The sequence below is a fragment of the Homo sapiens genome, chromosome 8, assembly GCF_000001405.40.
Source record: "Homo sapiens chromosome 8, GRCh38.p14 Primary Assembly".
In the NCBI taxonomy this organism is placed as follows: Eukaryota; Metazoa; Chordata; class Mammalia; order Primates; family Hominidae; genus Homo; species Homo sapiens.
Genome location: NC_000008.11, coordinates 131937932 through 131957415, shown reverse-complemented (window position 1 = coordinate 131957415; position 19484 = coordinate 131937932). Strand labels below are relative to the sequence as shown.

Sequence of the window (19484 nt, the reverse complement as noted above, 5' to 3'; positions counted from 1 at the left end):
TCATGCCATTGCACTCCAGCCTGGGCAACAACAGCAAACTCTGTCTCAAAAAAAAAAAAAAAAAAGACCCTGGCCCTAAATCTTCAAATTAGACATGAATTATTTGTTTTGATCTGCTAGAGCACTTTTTGTTCTTTTCTCATAATCCATATATTATTTTATAAATATTATGCATGTCAATCACCCATCAAATTTGTTATTCATGCATATATTCCCCAAATATCTGGCACCTCACTTGCAGAGGGCATTTAATATTTAATTAACTAAATGGTTAATGTGTAATCACATATTTACTTAAGATTAATTTAATTAATTAACTAATACATGATCAGAAATTTTAAGTTCTATGTAGAAAAGAATATAACTGAGTTCAAGTTATTCAACTCAAGTACAACTTATTTGGTAAATTCTTTCTTCCAAGCTAGCTCTCTAGATTTTTAAGGCCTTATAGATTAGTTCTAAGAGTATTAAGATAAAAAATGGAATTCTGACGTTAAGTCAGCACATCTAGATATTAAAAAAATAAATTTGCCTTTAGTATATTTGGTGTAATTCTGATTAATTTTTAGTAGCATTTCCATAAGCTTAGGGAGCCTTTAAACAATAGATCTCAATATTTTGGAGGTGGGAGGAAACACAGATCCCTTTGAAAATCTAATGATTCTCTAATTTTTAATATAATTTTGTGATTTATAGATTCTTGTAACTAAGGCTCAACTTTGAACTCTAGGCTAAGAACATCCATCTGTCCTAAATAAAGAATTCTGGATGTTACATTTAGAATATCATACATATTCTATAAAGCCACTATTACAGTCAGAAGGAGAAAAGGACAAGGTGAATTTTAACAAAAGAAAGACTAGCAAAAATGTCCAGAAATTACACAGAATATTATATAGTAGATCTATCATCTGGTGATTGAGTCAGAAACACAAAGGCTTGACAAGGCTTGAGAGACCATATCTATGTGGAGAAACTCAAAGCTCATTAACATATTTTGCCTGGAGGAGAGCATGAAAGTACCAACAAGATATTTAATATTCTTGCTCTGATTAATCACTATGTAAAAGATGAATTCACTCAGAGATGTGAATGCGATCTAAGGCAGCCCAGCCATGGCAAAAAGAGAGCCAATAAATAGAAGCCAGGGACCAGGAAAAACTGACCATGAAAGTTAGTAGAACAAGATACATCATGCTTAGACACTGTTTGTTTAAATATTTCACTGCACATAGGCATTTCAAGGTCTGTAAGCAGATATTCAAGTTAATGCACATGATATTAACACATTATTACACTTCATACTTAAAGGGAAAAAGCTAATTAAGTAATTGAACCACTGGTCAAACACATCATGCATGACTCAGTCCTGTACTACTTTCACAATGTTACACTGGTTCCATTAATAACTCACTCATGCAAGTAAAAAAGTAGTTGTCCTCTATAAATAAGTTAACACAGAATTAATACAGCAAAATCACAAATAACCAGGAAAACACCAACTACTTACGCAAAAACTGGTCTAACAGCATTATTCATATTCCCAAAAGTTGCTCGACCCAGCAGTTCTCTGAAACAGTTTTCAGCCAGCACAGCAGGATTCTCTTCTTTGTCAGTTGCAGAAGGAGAAGAAGGAGGGCCTATGCGACTAAAAAGGAACGAGAAATAAAGAAAAACACAAGAATTTTAATATCAGTTCTAATAAACAAAATATACTTTACTTTTTAGAAATGTTAAAATGGCATTTTCTTTTTATACTCCAGAAAATATATAGCTTAATTCTAATTTCATGAATTTAACACCACCAAAATGAATCATACACTCTTTCAAATTGAAGAAATAAACTTGGCTGTGCAAATTGTTTCTAGCTAACAGAATGTCTTTTATGTATAACTAAAATACTCAGCAGCTTGCTTTCACTTTCATTCAACTTTTCTATATTTATAGCAAAATCTTAGTAAGAACACAGGGCCCAGAGACCATCTTTAGGTATCCTTAATTTAACTGTAAATGGGCAAAAATAAAGTGAAAAACTATGACCTAGCCTGTAAATAAAAAATAAAATTTAAAAGCTAACTAGAATATCTGTATACGTAGCTGTCTTCAGCAGACAATATTCTGTTCATATCCTGAAACATTATTTTAGGCTAATGAATTTATGAATAATAATTCTAAAAATGTATATGTGGCACGGGGATTATATCATGAAAAAATGTAATTTCTTAAGAACTGATAACCAATGAGCTTTGTTTCTGGTATATTACTTATGCTAATCCTGGACCTCAAGAGCCGTAATTATGGAAAATGGGTTCCCAACTAGCTAGTGATCCTTTAAATAGTAAATATTTTAGATAAGGAAACTTTCACCTCAGCTACAGTGCCAAGAACAGGAAAAATACAGATAGTGCTAAAATACATCAAGTTTCACATTTTAGGAAAGGTTCCCAAAGCTGGAGACAGTCACATCTAAGGAATTAAGCATGAATCCTTTCTGTAATTAGTGTAAGTTAACATGAACGTGTGTTACCATAGAGTTATCAATTACATCTCATTTCTAGACTACTTTTATGCTGCTATTACACATATAATCACTAAAATCATAAATAAAATTTAAATTTAGAACTATAGAATTGAATCACTTTTAAATTTGATTCCAATTTTCCTCTTCAAACTGCAAGAATCAGGAAAGTCAGGATAATAAGCCATTGGAGAATACTGCTTCTGAAATATTAATTTATTATTTATATTAAATATTTAAAATATTATTTATAATAAATATTTCACTATTTATTTATTATTAACTTATTATCTCTGTGTATGGCAACAGAAATGTGGGGGATAAGCATGCTTCTAGTATTTGAAAAAGTGGAATAAAGTACAGAATTCTAACTGCAAGTGAATGTTGTAGAGGAAAAAGAAAAAATAAGCCTATATCCTAAAACAATATTCAGTTCCAAAACATCTTAGGACAAATCAAATATGAACAGTATCTAACCATTTGTTGAAAAAATAAAATACAGTGTGGGTAGCTATTATTATCATTATCATTATTATTTTGGTTAGTTCTAACTCCCTGTGCAAAAGTATGCTGGATCTTTTATATTAACAAAAGTAGAGCTATAATTTCTGTTTCTCACATTTGCAACTTTAAGTAGTATCCATTAAAACAGCAATTTGGATATTCAATAGTTGGTGGCAAATAAACTGTAAACTTATTCTAAAAGAAAATAAAGGCTTAAGTGTATGAATAATAATCTGTAGTCTGCTAAGCCTAATGTGATCACTACAGAGTAAAAATTTTTTCAGAAAGGTACATATTTTTAAACTCACTTAACTTTACGAGACTACTGTTTACAGAGTACTAAAGACAAAACATTCTTATCCTAGGAAACACACATACATATATATAAAAGTAACACTGTCTCAACACTAATATTTTTTTAAATACCTGTCAACTTCTTCTATCTTTTGCATGTTAAACAGGAGGGATGGAACAATCTTATCCATATGCTGAGGTTCCCAAATGGTGGCCCGAAGTTCATCGTTGACTGTTTTGCGAACCACACCTTGAATACCTCTAATTCCAGCAATTCGTATCCTATAAAAAAAAAAAAAAAGGAAGAAAATGAGCCATAAAAAAATTATTTAAACAAGACTGTTTGCGTAGCTAAGAGAATGGATATCAAGTAAATACTGTTATCTTATCAATAAAATATCTTAAAATAACACACAAGTCTAAGAAAGTAAATCTCAAAAATTTAAGAGACATGGAGATGTGCTGCAAAAAGGCTTACTTCAAATATCATGTTCTTAAAATCCGCATTTAAAACGTTAAAAGGACTATAAAATACAGAAATATCTATTTTTCAATTTTAAAAAATCAACAGCATAGGTTTTCTTAAAATGATAATGATACTCCATTTCTTACCTAGAAGTCTTAAGAGCTGAGTGAAAACAGGATTTCACTGTTCTGAACACCCTTCATGCTTCTTCAGACTTCTCTCACTGTTCCTCCCTAACAGCCCTTCAACTCCCTTTGACTACCTAGATAGAAGACTAAGCTGGTTCTTTTAAAAGGTATTACAAATAAGAACTATCGAAATGGAGCAGAGATAACCTCAGCAATATATATACAAATATGTCTATAAACACATATACATTATCATATAATAATCTGATAATGTGACTTAAAATGTATCAATATAATAGTGAGAGAATGCTGCCTTATCCTCCCATCCCAGATCAGAGCACCAAACCTCCTCAAGCTCTTCCTTACACTTCTTTAAAAAAGCAAAAGAAAATAAAAATCTATAGGTTCAAGAATGAGAAGAAAAGTGACTAGAAAACAGTTTCTAAAAACTGCAAAAGAACAAAGTCTCAAGCAGAGCTAACTTGGTGGCCCAATGAGTCTCAAAACATTTTCCTTCTGGTCAAATATGATGGCTATTTACTTCCTTTCTTTCTGCTATCTAAAATACTCACCAATTAGTTGTTTATTCAGTTTACCTAGCATTGTCTTCTAAAAACTGTAAATAGGTTTAAAGAATAGAAGATATGGGGAGGGAGGTGACATTGCTTTACATCTCCATGGCAAAATAATGCAGGCATTCAGGAGTAGCAGATGGACAATGGGAGGTGGCAGTAATATGATACTGAACAGGTGAGAAAAATGAATTGGAAGACACAAAGGCAAATTTTGCCTATTTCAAAGCCGTGTCTATACATGCTGCTTTTTAAAACATAAAGAGTCTTGAGAGATTCTCGTGCAGCTATCACAGTGGGCAAGCCTAACATTCCTACACAAGGTGCCTGCTTTACATACCTGCTGCTACACCTTGGGTGATGAGAAGGCCAAGCACAAGGTGGCATGGAGCACATTAACAAACAAGATGAAACTTTTATCATGCCTTGTGAGACAGCAGCCTAAATGGTGCAGCAGCAGATAGCGGTGCCCTTGCTCAAGGTTAAAGGGCAGTGTTGGTGGTAACTACCAATAGCTACTATAGCTACACAGCTTCATCCAATTCAGATCTAACATCTAGACTAATCAGTACATTCTAGCCATGACCCCCCAAAACGAATTCTACAGTTTCCCATCAGTAAAATAGAACAACTGTCACATCTACAGCATAGAAATGTTGAACAATTTAAATGAGTTAATTCATGTAAAGTGGTTAAACAATAACTGGCACACAGAAAGCACTCAGTGTTAGCTGTTCCTGTTTGTTGCTAACCACGACGAGGATGATGACAATGATGGTGGTGGTGGTGGTGGTGGTGGTAATTTCTACCACAGCTGAAGTTTCTTCAGAAAATTAGAGTTAAAGATTGTGATGCATGACTCTACAAGTGGGAGCCAGTTCTTCAAGGAAAATAAGAAAATCCTAACATTTACCAGCCCCATCTCCTACTGTCCATGTCCCCTGGAGTTCTATTTGGTAACAGCTTGGTAAAAAAATAAAGGGACTGATGATTTCTCTAAGTTAGAACTTAAAATAGAATATAAATATACTTAAAGAGAATCAAAAGGGCTTTTATTTAAGTTAAAGCAGAAATAATCAAACTAAGTATTTTATATTAAATAGCATTTTAATTTACTCATTTGTTTTACAGGAATTCAAATAAAATGTTGGCATTATGGAACTTCAAATATGATATAATATTGGAAAGACCTAGAGTTAGCAAATTGTACTATAAGTCCTTTCATTGGTTTACAGAAAATGTCAAAGTTTCTTTTTGGAAGCAGTAATGAAGAACAGGTAAAAATATATTCAAAAGACAAGATATTTCACTAGGGGATGATAAATACTTAGAAAAACGTACTACATTCCAGATATTTTCTATATTTTGAAAGAAAGCAAAAACGTTAAAATCTTGAAAAAATTGCCATTTTCTTTAGCTAATCTTTGTATCTTTTTGCCCCATTAAAAACTTATTATCAGCCTCTGAAGACAGAGAATAGTCTCATAAACATTTAAGATATCCTTTAGAGAGAGAAAAATTAATTTTCCTGGTGATGGAGACAAATAGAAAACTAATTATTGTAAGGTAATTATAGTATTTTTTACCTCTGAGAAGGCTTTACACTTCATAATAAAGGAATAATAGCAGGACTCTAAATGGCCTATACTCTACTGAGCAAAAATCATACCAGCAGCATCACAGACAAAAACAAATCTTATACCTGAAAATAACTATTTAATCACCTTTAAGCTTTCTTTCTCCAAGTTAAAATAACATTTATACTTGTTTTTGTTTCATGTAAACCAGCACTGTAGCTTGCATACTTTAACTAAAACCTAGTTATATTTCTGTACATTCCTTTAATTATCTTAAAATAAAAGTAAAAGTTATAAAGCATGCTATATCTTATCAACTGCCCACAGTAACTCTAAATCCGGGTTGATTTCTTGTTTTTTAGGTGTAGATAGTAATGCTCCAATTACTTTCTATATTTCCTAAAGTCATTTTGACTTTCTTAACTTTAAAGTTTCTCATTTCTGTATGTCTCATTCTATCAACCTATAGTTGAGTTTATAAAATATTTGATTCCAGATTTTTAGTAGGATATATCCAGAAGAAATGTTTAAAAATGTCCAAGACAGTTGTCATGACAACCTCAGATGGATAGTGATTCAGTAATATACATTCATTCAATTTATCTACTTATTCACTCAAAAAGTACTAACTGAGAGCCTACTATGTACCAGGCACTATTCAAAGTATTCGCGATACTGCAGTCCTCAAACCAAAGTCCTCACGCTCCTGGAATTTATATTCCATAGAGGAGCAAGAAACAAGGAGATACATGATAAGAAGATAAAGATAGCTAGGGGTAGAATGAGAGAGGTGACATTTAATAAAGGGTGGCTGGGGAGGGTTCTTGTGATAAGGTGTCATTTGAGCAGAAATCTGAACAAAGTTAGGTAACGAGCCATGTGGGCATCCAGGGAATTGTTCTGTGCACAAAGACCAATGTGTCCAAAGGGCCTGAGGAGAGGTGTGACTAAAGTATTCAAGAAATGGCAAGGAGATCCACATGGCAGGATTAGAGTGAAGGTAGGAAGAAATGATAGAAGGACAGGATCTGACAGAGTAAGCAGGGCATGAAGAGACATTCTAGGCTACAGTAAAGACCGCATTTTAGTGAGCTGGAAAACCATTCTCATTTTGCTACTTCAGTCAGCAATTATAGCTTCTAACAGCAATGGAAAGCCGTATTTCAGGCATATTATTGTTTCCTCTGGTAATCATTATGTAACATATGAACACAATATTAATCTCTAAATTACTTACTATAGATCATAAAGTAAAATAATACATACTCTGTTCGTATTTCTGGATCACTATGACAGGAATGGCACATGGCACTGAATCGAGACACAAAAAAGTCATAACGTCTGTGATAGGATGGTGTGTCTTCTTCAATATTTGCAAATTTGACAAACTAAAAAACACAAATAATATAATATACTTCACCTTCTTCAGAAGTGTGAACCAAATACATTTAATTTCATACACTGTCATATTAACAAGCAATATAAAAATAAGTAACAAACAAAACATCAAATACAACATTAATACAGAAGAAACTTTCTTTCTTGAGATAGGGTCTTGCTCTGTTGCCCAGGCTGCAGTGCAGTGGTGTGATCATAGCTCACTGAGCCTTGAATTCCTAGGCTCAAGTGATCCTCCCGCCTCAGCTTCCCAAGGCGTCAGGACTACAGGCACGCACCACCAAACCTGTCTAATTTTTTGATTTAATTTTATTTTTGTAACAATGGGGGTCTTGCTATGTTGCCCAGGCTGCTCTTGAACTCCTGGCCTCAAATGATCCTCCTGCCTTGGCCTCCCAAAGCACCCAGATTATAGGCATGAACCACTGCACCAACCCAAAAGAAACTTTTTAATAATAAACTTTTAGAAAACAAGAGGAAGAAAAAAACATAATCTGTGCTTTCCCTAAATCTTAATCCATAATAATGACAGTGTATTTATCATTGTACAAAGAACACAAGCTTCGAATTAAGAAAGGCCTAAGATTGAATCCTCCTATTATATACAGCATTACTTCACTGTGTCTTTGGACAAGTTATTTAGCTGTAATTCCTCATCTATAAAATGAAAATAATATTTCTAAGCTTGAAGGGTTGAGAATCATGACATAATTAATATATGTAAAATATCTAGCATATACTGTATTATTTCTTTTAAAGAACATGAACCAATGTTGCATAGTATTAACATGTATTACCATTATGTATTATTTATAACAAAAATTATATTATCATTTATTGATATTATTTAGTATTTTTCTTTCTTGAATCAGTAGGTATATAGCTATACTATATTATGCTCCACACTTTTCTATATTTGAAACACTTTACAATAAAAAAGAGGTAAAAATAAAAAGTATCTAGCACAATTTCTGAAACAAAGGAGAACCGAAATACATTGCATCTATTACTGTCATATTGAGTTGGCATTAGCATGAAGAGGAAAATGTCAACAAATTAAACCGTACGAACACCATTAATAAATTTTAAATTAGCACTGGTCATGTTTGACAACATAAGGCACTCAGCACCACTAAGAAAATTAGACCACCAGGAAATACTAGGTAATTAATGTTGGTCAAGATAACATGGCATTTCATTTAATAAAATTCACTCAAATTAAGGTAGGTAACTGGAGAATTTTGTCTTTTGCCCAAATGACTCACTAAAACAATCTAATGGCATTGCTGGGTGAAAGTAAAGAAATTTCCGGAAATGTATACTAAAATTCTCCCCCTAGCTAGTAAGCCACTTTCCCAAAACATTCCTCACCTAATGTAAACAAAACAGGAGAAGCCTAAGTAGCTACCTTGCCTGAAACTAAGCTTGTCACATCATCTAAATGCACTTGGAAATACCCAATATATTCCTGCTGAAGTAAGTGATAAAAATCATATTAAGAGTTTTGAATGAGGGTTTATTTAACGCTCTTACTACCAGTAATAACTAACAGTGCCATGCACTCTTCCAAGAGCATCATATATATCAACTCATGTCACACAACAATCCTGTGAGATTGGTATTCTCATTCTCCTCATTTCACAGATGAAAAACCGAGGCAAGGAGAGAATAAATAACTTGCTCAAGGTATACAGCTAGAAAGCGGTACAGGCGTAGTTCAAAACTGGGGTAGTCAGACTCTGGAATCCACACTGTCAGCACCTCGTATACTTCCTCTTCCTATACCAGAAAACAATTATCCATAAACAATAGCAGGTAATATATGATTTTTTTTATTAAAACTCTGAATGGAAACATACAGTATTCATGTAGGTTGAATGCCTTAAAGCTTCTCAGAGAAGAAGTTGGAACTGAAAGACTGAAGGTGATACAATGAAACTAAAGACAAGAGAAAAAATATTATCACTATTTTCTTTTTAAAGTAGGTATGCTTTCCCAAACTTATTTTAAGGGACAATGGTTCAAGATAGAAGAAAATGAATGTGGTGAGCAGAAATAGTTCAGAAGCAGTCTAAAAAAGAATAAACATATAAACCCTTAACTTTTATGGTAAATTTATTTTTAAAAGACTGCCAAGACCATTCAAAGGGAAAGAATAGCCTTTTCAACAGATAGTAATGGCATAGTTAAATATCCACATGCAAAATGTGGATAAAGTTGAATGCTGAATTCACATCACATACAAAAGCTAACTCAAAATGGATTATTAAATACAAACTTAAACTGTAAAACTCTTAGAAGAAACTATAGGAGTAAACCTTTCTGATGTTGGATTAGGCAATAGTTTCTTAGATATGAAACTGAAAGCATACCTGTCCACCACCCCCCAAACACACATTACACACCAACAACAAAAGGAAAAAAAAAAAAGGAACTGGACTTCATCAAAATCAAAACTTTAGTGACTCAAAGCATACCATGAAGAAAGTGAAAAGACAAAACCATAGAAATGGAGAAGATATCTGCAAATCATATATCTGATAAAGTACTCTTATCAAGAATATATAAAGAACTTTTACAACTCAACAATAAAAAGACAATTGAAAAAAGGAGGGAAAGGATTTGAATAGACATTTCTCCAAAGAAAATATACCCAATAGTCAACGAGCACGTGCAGAGTTTTACCATTAATCATTAGGGAAATGAAAATCAAAACCACAATGAGATACCACTTCAGACGCTCTAGGATGCTTAAAATAAAAAAAGATAGACAATAACAAGTACTGATGAGGATGTGGAGAAACAACACTCATATATTGGTGGTGGGAATGTAAAATAATGCAACCACTTTGGAAAACAGTTAAACACAGTTACTACATGACTCAGCAATTACACTACTAAGTATATACCCAAGAGAATGAAAAACATACATCCACACAAAAACCTGTACACAAATCTTCATAGCAGCATTATTCATACTAGCCATAAAAATGGAAACAACCTTAATTAATGAAAAGGCATGAAACTCAAAAGGAATGTAGGACACAAAGTTAGTGTTGCAATAAAAGACCAAGAGAAAATAAAAATGACAAGTATGCATTCATTTACATGCAGACATTCTATTATGATTAGTTAATACCACAGATTTCACAAGAAACAGCAGAAAAACTGAGAGGCAAAGTATTCTAATTATCTTAATTTGTGTTGACTGTTCAAATGCCCTATTCAGGGAATTTGCCTTTACCAGGTAAAGTCATTCTAAGAAGTAATTAATTCTAGATATGCTAATTAAGCATACATTTAGTAACAGAATAGTTTTACTCACAGAATTTGTTCCAAGAACTTGAAGCTTTGGTTCCCCCGATTCCAGCAGCTTTGCCACCATATGAAGAAAGCTTTCTACAAATGGCTTAATGCTTTGAGAATGGCAAGCCATGAGAAGTTGGTCCAGTGCCTCCATAGCAATCAAAACATACCTACATGTAGGAGAAAAAGAATGTCAAAGCATTTCTACCTCTCTTAATTCTCCTAAGTGCTTTACATTGGAAGAACTGAAATAAGTCTATTGAAATACACCAAAGAAAGAAATGCAAATTTAGTAACTCCTAAGTAAAATCTTAATTCTCACACAGCACTAATATCTTGTAGGTTATAAAATAATCCTTTTATCGAAGTATACAGAAAATATACACTGTATTCCCCCATTTTCTCCTTAACTATGTGAGCTTAACATTAACTTTGTGTATATTTTTCTTTGTAAATATGGACATTTTCTATTTTCCAGACTTTTAACCATATTTACTTGTATCTGACCCAAAATAATTATTAATGTGACAATTTCCAATATAATCTACTTATATGTCTAAATATGAGTAGATAAAACACTATCAGCAACATAATATTATTTTAAAAATCTCATAAATATTACTTTACAATTCATCAGATTTTACATCTTGTACTTAAAATTCAGACAGATACCAGAGGATAGGAAGGGCATGTAAGTGCGGTTGCGAGGGCAGGGTGTGGAGGGATGAAGAGACGTTGGTTAATGAATACAAACTTACAAAATTAGATAAAAGAAATAAGTTCTAATGTTCAACAGCACAGTAGGGTGACTAAAGTTAGCGACAATGTACTGTATATCTCAGAGTAGCTAGAAAAGGACTTGAAATGTTCCCAACACACAGAAGTGATAAATAAATTGAGGTGATGGATAGCCCAGATACCCTGACTTGATCTTTACACATTCTGTACATGTGACAAATACTCACAGGTACTCCATAAGTATGTAAAATATTATGTATCAATTTTTAAAGGGTAAATTTAAAACAAAATTAAAATTCAGTCTTTGGATACTTTTCCTTCAACAATCAACCATAAAGCTATGTGTGCCATCACTTACTAAAATGTTCTAAGTGGTAACAACGCAAAGGTACAGAAAGCTAATATATCACTTGGAGAATAGAATACTCCAATAAACTTGGATCATAAAATGACAGAATGAAAAAGTATTTATAATCCAAATTGCAAAGTTATTATTGTTTGAGCACAGAGAATACAGTAGGATGGTAGACTTCTATTTATCAGTAAGAGTATAGCTAGCACAGTTCCAAATCAGCATGCTTGAATTTCCTGGGCCTTGATATCTAAGCCTAACACGGTTCTCTCTTATTACTCCTCCGAGAGGTAAAACTGAAGCTGTGTGAAAAAAAATGATCTGGTTAACAGGATCTTTCTGTTTGTTTTCAATTTAGAGACTGATTTTTAAATTACAGTATTGCACTGATAGACTAAGTGAGTCAATTTCTACTATTTCCCATTAGAAAAGACTCAAAAATCAATAGACACAAGCAAAAAGTAACTCAGTTAACTAACATAGTCTACTCACAAAACCTGACCACCAGGAAAGTAATAAAAGCCACAGCATCTATTGGAGTATTATATATTTCTTTGTATAATATTACAATGTTTTATCCTCTATATATTATCTTTGTCTCACTAAATGGCAAAATAATCTATAGAATGATTTAAAAGTCTAGAAAGAATTTTCCAAAGATACTATTTTAGCAGCCATTAGTTTCCTTACCCAGAACGATGTCTGACAACATCCCTGCTCAACCTTTCTGCCAGGTAAGAACCAATTCGATCCAGTTTCTCTGGAGCAGATACTGCATAAAATGTCAATTTCTCCATATCAGTTTTCACAAGGCCATCCTAAAAACAATAACAAGATAAATAGATTATCTATATTTTCATGCTTATTATATTTTTAAGTGTTGCCTGCTTTACAATTTCCCTTTCTGGATTGGGGATTAAACGATATTTATGTAGAACCCTTCTGCACATAACCTCCTTAGTGCTAACATTCACCATGATGGATACATAGAACTTTCAAAAAATTTTTTACAATGCCCCATTTATGCAAAGCACAAACAGTGAATTAGACTCTAACATCTTCCTTTATAGAGACATAGCTCAATTATCTGTAGTATATAGGGAATGGGATATAGATGTAAAAAGATTTCAAACAAAATTTGTTTCAGTTTAAAAATGTGAAATGTTATTAAGCCTGTTTTACTCATTTACTTATACGATAGTCAACATATGGCTTTTTTAATGATTCAGAAGTCAGTGATATCATTATAAGTTTTTGTTGTAATTAATAAACAAGAAAGTATTCAGAGCTGTAGAATCTATACTTATTCAACATATTTAAAAAGCAACAACAGGTCCCTGATATGGGATTATAAAACGGTCATTTGTCTCTGCCTTTTAAAAGATGATGTGCAACAGGTGCATAAATTCTCCCCAGTTACCACGTAAGTTTCTTGGCCATATATAACCCAAGTAAGTGTTGCTTAGGAATATTGGAATAGGTGAGAAGGGAGAAAGGGAAACTATGTTAGACAGTGAATCTGCAACAAAAATTGTATAGATGTGTGTTTTCACCTTCAACTGGTCCCTCAATGTTCTTTGGCTATTTTGCTGTTTCCCTAGTTGAGTCACCCCCTCATATTTTGTACCTACTCCGTTTTCCTCAAACTTGCTACTTTGGTGCCTCTCTCCTCTCTCAGACAGCAAATGAGCTCTTCTCTTTCCCAGAGAAGGTGGAAGCCATCACATTAGTATTTACTGGCAAAACATCCCTGCTTTCTCAGTGCCTGCTAGGCCAGTAGATCTTAACCAGGTGTAACTGAGCCCCTCCAGGGCAATGTCTAAAGGCATTATGGGTTGTCATAGATGGGTGAAGGTGGGTACTGGGATCTAGTAGGTAGAGGCCAGGGATGTTCCTAAATATCTCACAATGCACAAAATAGCCCCCAAAAGTAAGTAATTATCTGGACCAAAATGTCAAATGAACCTAAGTTGAGAAACCCTGCCCTAGGCAAAGTGAAGCAATCTAGTTTTCCTGTCTAGGAGGAATTGGTTTGCCTCTGCTCTGGCTGTCTTCCACACACAGTTCCATGATCTGGCTCCATCAGTTAGTTAGCCTCTCTTCTTCCTGGTTCTTTGACCTCTCCCTCTGTATCAGTTCCTCCACATCATCATTGAAATAAAATTGTGTCTCTCCTATATTTTTAATCCCTTACTAATTTTATTGAAGAATAATCTATATATAAATAACTGCATTGACTTACGGTATATAATTGGAAATGTGACAGTTGTATACATCTGTGAAGACACTGCTAAAAATAAGATACAGGTTGAGGATACCTCATCCAAAATGCCTGGGATCAGAAGTGTTTCAACTTTGGCTATTTTTTCAGATTTTGGAATATTTGCAGATACTTAACTACTTAGATATCCCTAATCCAAAAATTCAAAATCCAAAATGCTCCAGTGAGCATTTCCTTTGAGTATCATGTCAGTGCTCAAAAAGTTTTGGATTTCAGAGCATTTCAGATTTCAGGTTTTTGGATTAGGGATGTTCAACAGGAAAAGAACATTTTCATCATTTACAAAAGATTTCCCATGTCCTTTGCAGGCCATCTCTCCCTCTTCAGGCAACCACTGCTCTGCTTTTTATCACTATGAATCAGCATGCATCTGACATAAATAGAATCATACAGTTTACAAATCATATATTTTGTGCAAGACTTCTTTCACTCAACTCATCTCTTTGCCTAGGAACCCTTCTCCAGTTCACCTGGATAATTCCTACTCATCCTTTAGGTCTTAGCTTCCTCCAATACTGTGTTGCACCCTCCCAACAGCCCCCACTCCAAGTTTGGGTGAGATGTTCCAACTACATGTTCTTCTACCTCACAGTACTTATCTCCACTATTATATTTTATCAGATTATCTTTTCATTCATTAAACAAATAATGAGTGCCAACTATGTGCCAGGCACAATGATAGACATTAGGAAAGCAACAGTGAGTAAAGAGCTGCATTAACTCATTTAGTCCTCATGAGAACATTATGAGATCGGTACTACTTATTACTTCCATTACATGATGACAAAACAAGGGACTTGCCCAAGATCATCTGGCTACTAATTTTAAGAAACTGTTTATCTGTCCCCCTTACTAGATTTCTCTTTCAAGGCAGGGACTATGACATCTGCTTCTGCATTTGGGTACCTACTGTCTGACCGATTATGGACATATCACAAGATTTGTTTGTTTTAACAAGTTAAAAATAAGAAACATGGCAAATTGAGTAATGTTTGCCATATATATTCAAGGTTCATGTAGATCTTTTCCTTTTTTAAAATCTTATTTTAAAGATTGCTATTTAAACAAATCTTATATAAATCCTTGGCAAAAATAAGGATTCTTTCTCTAATTTACCTATGGTCATTTCAATGATCAAGTGTTCAAAGCTCCTTCACTGACTACAAGTTAAAGTGACTATAGTAGAGGCCTTCCTTGTCATTCACAATCCTCTAAAATCTGGCCTCCACCTTACCTTCAGTAACCATATGTCCCAGACTTCTCAGGAAAATAATTATTTGGATATTCAGTCTACTAATTGATAACATCTGAAATTTCAAATGAGAAATCATGGTCAACATGATTACCACCCTTACACTCTACAATTAGGTTATATAAACCTTCGCTTGAAGTCTGATGGATAACTTGCTCTAGGCTTCAAATATATGTCTTGCTTTCCCATGTCTTTTCTCTTTCCCCTCACTTGCAATAAAGAGACTAATCTTGTCTACCTCTCCAGATGGTATACATACTTCAAAGCTCAGCAAATCTCATTTCCTCTGTGAATGCTTCCCGGAGGTTCCCAACCCACAGTGATACCTCCCTGCTTTAGAGGCAAAAACTTTCCACCTGATTTACTTAGCATTTTACTTACTGATTTATGCACTGTAATTTCATATTTAGTATGTTTCTGCTTTATGTCAGTTACTGGATGGAAAGGTCCTTCAAGGCAGTACCATATCTTAGGGTTTTTAATATGCCACAAATTTTCCAGGATATCTGGCAGCCAATAATATTTAATTGATTAACCTCCTCTACATAACTGAATGTTTAAACAGATTTGGTTAAAAATAAGATACATCAACATTAAGTTAATATTAAGATAATCAAAAGCTTTATACAGTTTGTTACATTTTAAAATAAAGCAAATTTTGGAAGTCAAAAGCCATGTAACTTTTTTTTTGTTCCTATTCATTTAACAGGAGACTACAGAAGTCTTAGAAAGGTTGAGGCAATGTGAAACAAAATCACCCCAACCAGTTGCTTTGAAACCAGTAATCTTCACAAATAAAATAATTGTTATACAAAAATTAAATAGTATTTAAGTAAAAAGAAAAACTCTGCCTGAAACAATCTTTCTTTACCTCTCAGTTCTCTTCTAAAAACTGTGTGGTCAATCCCTATTTATTCTTTGGATCTTAGCTTAGATTTTATTTCCTCCAGGCTTTCTTCTCCTCAACCCAAATTGGGTATCACTCCTATCTTCTCCAGGAGCAGCCCATACTTCATTTGTCTAGTACAACATTTTTTTTTTACAAGAAACTGTAATTACCAATTTACTTATATATGTGCATAATGAGAGCAGAAAACCTTCTCTCTGTTCACAGTGGTATCATGAGCACTTAGTTTAAATAATCTGGCACTGGTTCATAAATTAATGAACATAAATTAATGCGACAGTGTTACTTAGACACTATATAAACTATAAAAGAACATCAACTGTCCATTTTTCTAGATTTGTGCCTAATCTACTAAAAGGATCTGAAAACTAGACAAGCAAGCATGGGTCATTTAAGAGTAAAAAAAAGAAAAGTATAAAAAAAGTAGTATAAATGATGAGATGTAAGGGTAAAAGTAGAGAAATGAAATTAGGGAAACCTTAAGGAGGTCAGCGGGGGGCAGAATGGGTCAGCAAAGAGAAGGATCAGTAGATGTAGATCAAATTACTTTTGGATCTTCAGGGAATATGTTGTCCACCAGGCGTTTGTAGCGAGGACGCAAAGCGGAACAGCAGCAGCATACTCCTGTTAAAAAAAAAAAAATCAAGAAATACAGATATTATTAATATTGTAAACAGGCCTGGAAATTCAAGTTTCTGAATATTAATGGGCTATATAAAATACAAAGTTCAAACTGTCACAAATAAAGACATACAAATGTAATCAGTGATTAAGAAAAGACAAAGTTAAATTTCTTATCCTTACTCCAAAGACACACAGCTTCTAAGAATTTTTAGGTAACATGCATACACATCCCGCCAAATTCATCTGACAAAGTGAAAACATCATCCGTGCCCCCTTTACCTCCTTTCTGATGTCATCTGCCCGCAACTCCGGCATACCCCCACCCACCTGTTGCAATCCACTCTACTCAAGCCACAGTGGTCTCCCTGCTAATTCTAACCAGCTAGACCCCCTCCTTTGGATCTTAACTCTCACTGTTCCCTCTGCCTGGGGCATGCCCAAGTATCTACTAACAGCTATAATAACTCTGTCACCTTCTTCAATTCTTCATCTACGCCTCTCTGACCACCCTTACCCTGCTCTACCTTCTTTTTCCCATAGCACTTATCACCTACCACATTAAATAAACTTTCTATTGTGTTTACTGGTCCTCATCTGTGCCCCCTCACCAGGACAAACTCAGATGAAGGCAGGGATCATTGTTTTGCTCACTGATGAATCCCAAACAACTGAAATAATCTAAAAATACTTTAGATCAACATTAATACTGACACTAAAATAAATTAAAATCAAATATGTATTAAGCACACAAGCACTGAGCCAGGTCCTGTATTGCAATGATGAAAGAAGCTTATAACCTGAAAAGAAGATTAAGTGAGTACTTAGTGAACACTAATGCAAAGCCAAATATAGTAAATTCAAATTGTTAGCATGGCACAGACTAGCCACACGTCTAAAAAACAAGTCCTAATGTTTCAAGTTTTCTGTAAGAATGGGAAATTTTGTTATTTTCAATAAGAAAGATTCTTAATAAGCTATTAAGTTTCACTTACATTAACATTTCTGATGTTATACACTATACACTGCTTTTAGTTTAAAAGAGCTTGAAATATAAATGTAACCTTGGAATGCAAACAATGTCCAGTTCCCACTTTTGGGAAGCTTAGGTTTACCAGGAGAGACAGATAAGCAAATGGTGAAGTGTCTAGTGGACAGCCATGGGTTAAAGAACATGGGCTTTGGAACAGACAGATCTGAAGTGAATCAGTCTCCCTCCGTCCAGCTGGGCTGGGTGCGTTACTTTGTCTTACTACACACAAGTTTCCCCATCAGTAAAAATAGATGTAATAATGCCTTCTTCATAATAATAAGAATTAAATAAAATTGTATATAAAGCTCTTATTAAGCAAGCACTCAATACAATGGTAGCTATTATTAGTAATGCAGTAAGAGGAGTATTACAATCAGGGTAAGCAGATGATGATCAAGGACCCTTAAGATAGGATTCCCAATAGCATAAAAATCTTTGTTGTAAGCCCATAATTTAAAAATCACAATAAATTTTACATATGGTTCACAACCATAACTATATCAATAGCAGGAGGGACAATTACCATTTTCTGAAGATGACGTGTACAGCACTGTACTAAGGATGTTACAACATTATTCACTCACTCCTATCGTAACTCTCTGAGGGTTATGATCATCTCCATTGGATAAATGAGGAAACCAGCTTAGAGAGGCCAATTTTGTCCAGTAACACCCAGCTGGGGAGGATCTGAGGAACTGCAATTCCAACCCAGACCTGATGACTTCAAAGAGTAACTGCCACACTAAACTCAAGTACCAGCAAATTTCTAAATTACTTTAAATATTTTAGCTTTCTATAAATCATGACCAATGAACATAATTGCAGAAATGTGTGTGCCTAACAGATGAGGGATGCATTGCCATATAGGGAAATAAATGATCACAGTGAGTTTCTCAGGAAGGCCCAACACAAAACAAAAATACCTTTTTGACCACTTACTAAAAATAAAAAACTACCCACTATAAAGAAGGCATATAGGTTAAAATTTTTCATTTACAATTTCAGGTTTTTATAAAATTATATCAAAGACAATGTAAGGTTGAAATAACTGGCAATAATAATCACAAAAGAAATTACTATATAGACTTTTAAATAAATATGAATATTCTACTTATAAATATCAGAACAAGTAAAATAAAATCATTGGACCTACTCAAGTATAGAAATGTAGGTGACTCCCTTGTTGAAGTAAATTCATAAGGCTTTTCGAGTTCAGCTGCAGGTACCTGAACATAGTCCTTCATGTTGTATCAGACTATTTTCTAGTCGATCTTTCTGACTCTAGATCCTTTTACCTACTGTTCAGCAAGTGCCTAGTTCACTTTACTTCTAATTAATTAGCAGAGGGCACAGAAGTACTGTAACTTACCTAACTTGTCATTGACATCAAATATAAAGCTATCAAGAACTTGATAATATCCATATCAAGTTCTGCAAGCAAAGCCAACTAGCTTAAATAAGATACTATTAAAGTACTTATATTGCTAGCTTAATAAAAGTAGGTTTTTCATACAGGTTAAATAAGAAAGCAAGCCTA

At 33.9% G+C, this 19484-nt stretch overlaps 1 protein-coding gene across 11 annotated transcripts in view, besides 1 other annotated feature; it reads right to left on the bottom strand.

Moving 5' to 3' along the window:
- EFR3A (EFR3 homolog A) overlaps positions 1-19484 on the bottom strand; it is a 109550-nt gene that overhangs the window by 56227 nt on the left and 33839 nt on the right. For 7 of the 11 annotated variants that reach the window (NR_136616.2, NM_001323554.2, NM_001323558.2 and 4 more), the window contains exons 2-7: positions 16841-16917; positions 12544-12671; positions 10783-10933; positions 7326-7447; positions 3449-3598; positions 1511-1648 (exon numbers count right to left, since the gene is read on the bottom strand). Coding sequence is in view for 9 of the 11 variants with exons in the window: in NM_001323558.2 (NP_001310487.1) it covers positions 1511-1648; positions 3449-3598; positions 7326-7447; positions 10783-10933; positions 12544-12671; positions 16841-16917 (766 nt within the window). In the remaining 2 variants the exon portion in view is untranslated. Of the gene's footprint in view, positions 1-1510; positions 1649-3448; positions 3599-7325; positions 7448-10782; positions 10934-12543; positions 12672-16771; positions 16918-19484 lie in introns of all 11 variants that reach the window. The other 4 variants (NR_136615.2, NM_001323555.2, NM_001323553.2 and 1 more) reach the window with 1 other exon arrangement.
- Positions 4257-4935: an enhancer, noted in NCBI's record as "NANOG-H3K27ac hESC enhancer chr8:132964728-132965406 (GRCh37/hg19 assembly coordinates)". NCBI's record gives its function as "activates a minimal SCP1, AML or CMV promoter by ChIP-STARR-seq in primed H9 embryonic stem cells {active_cell/tissue: H9 hESC(primed)}" and the evidence as "EXISTENCE:reporter gene assay evidence [ECO:0000049][PMID:30033119]".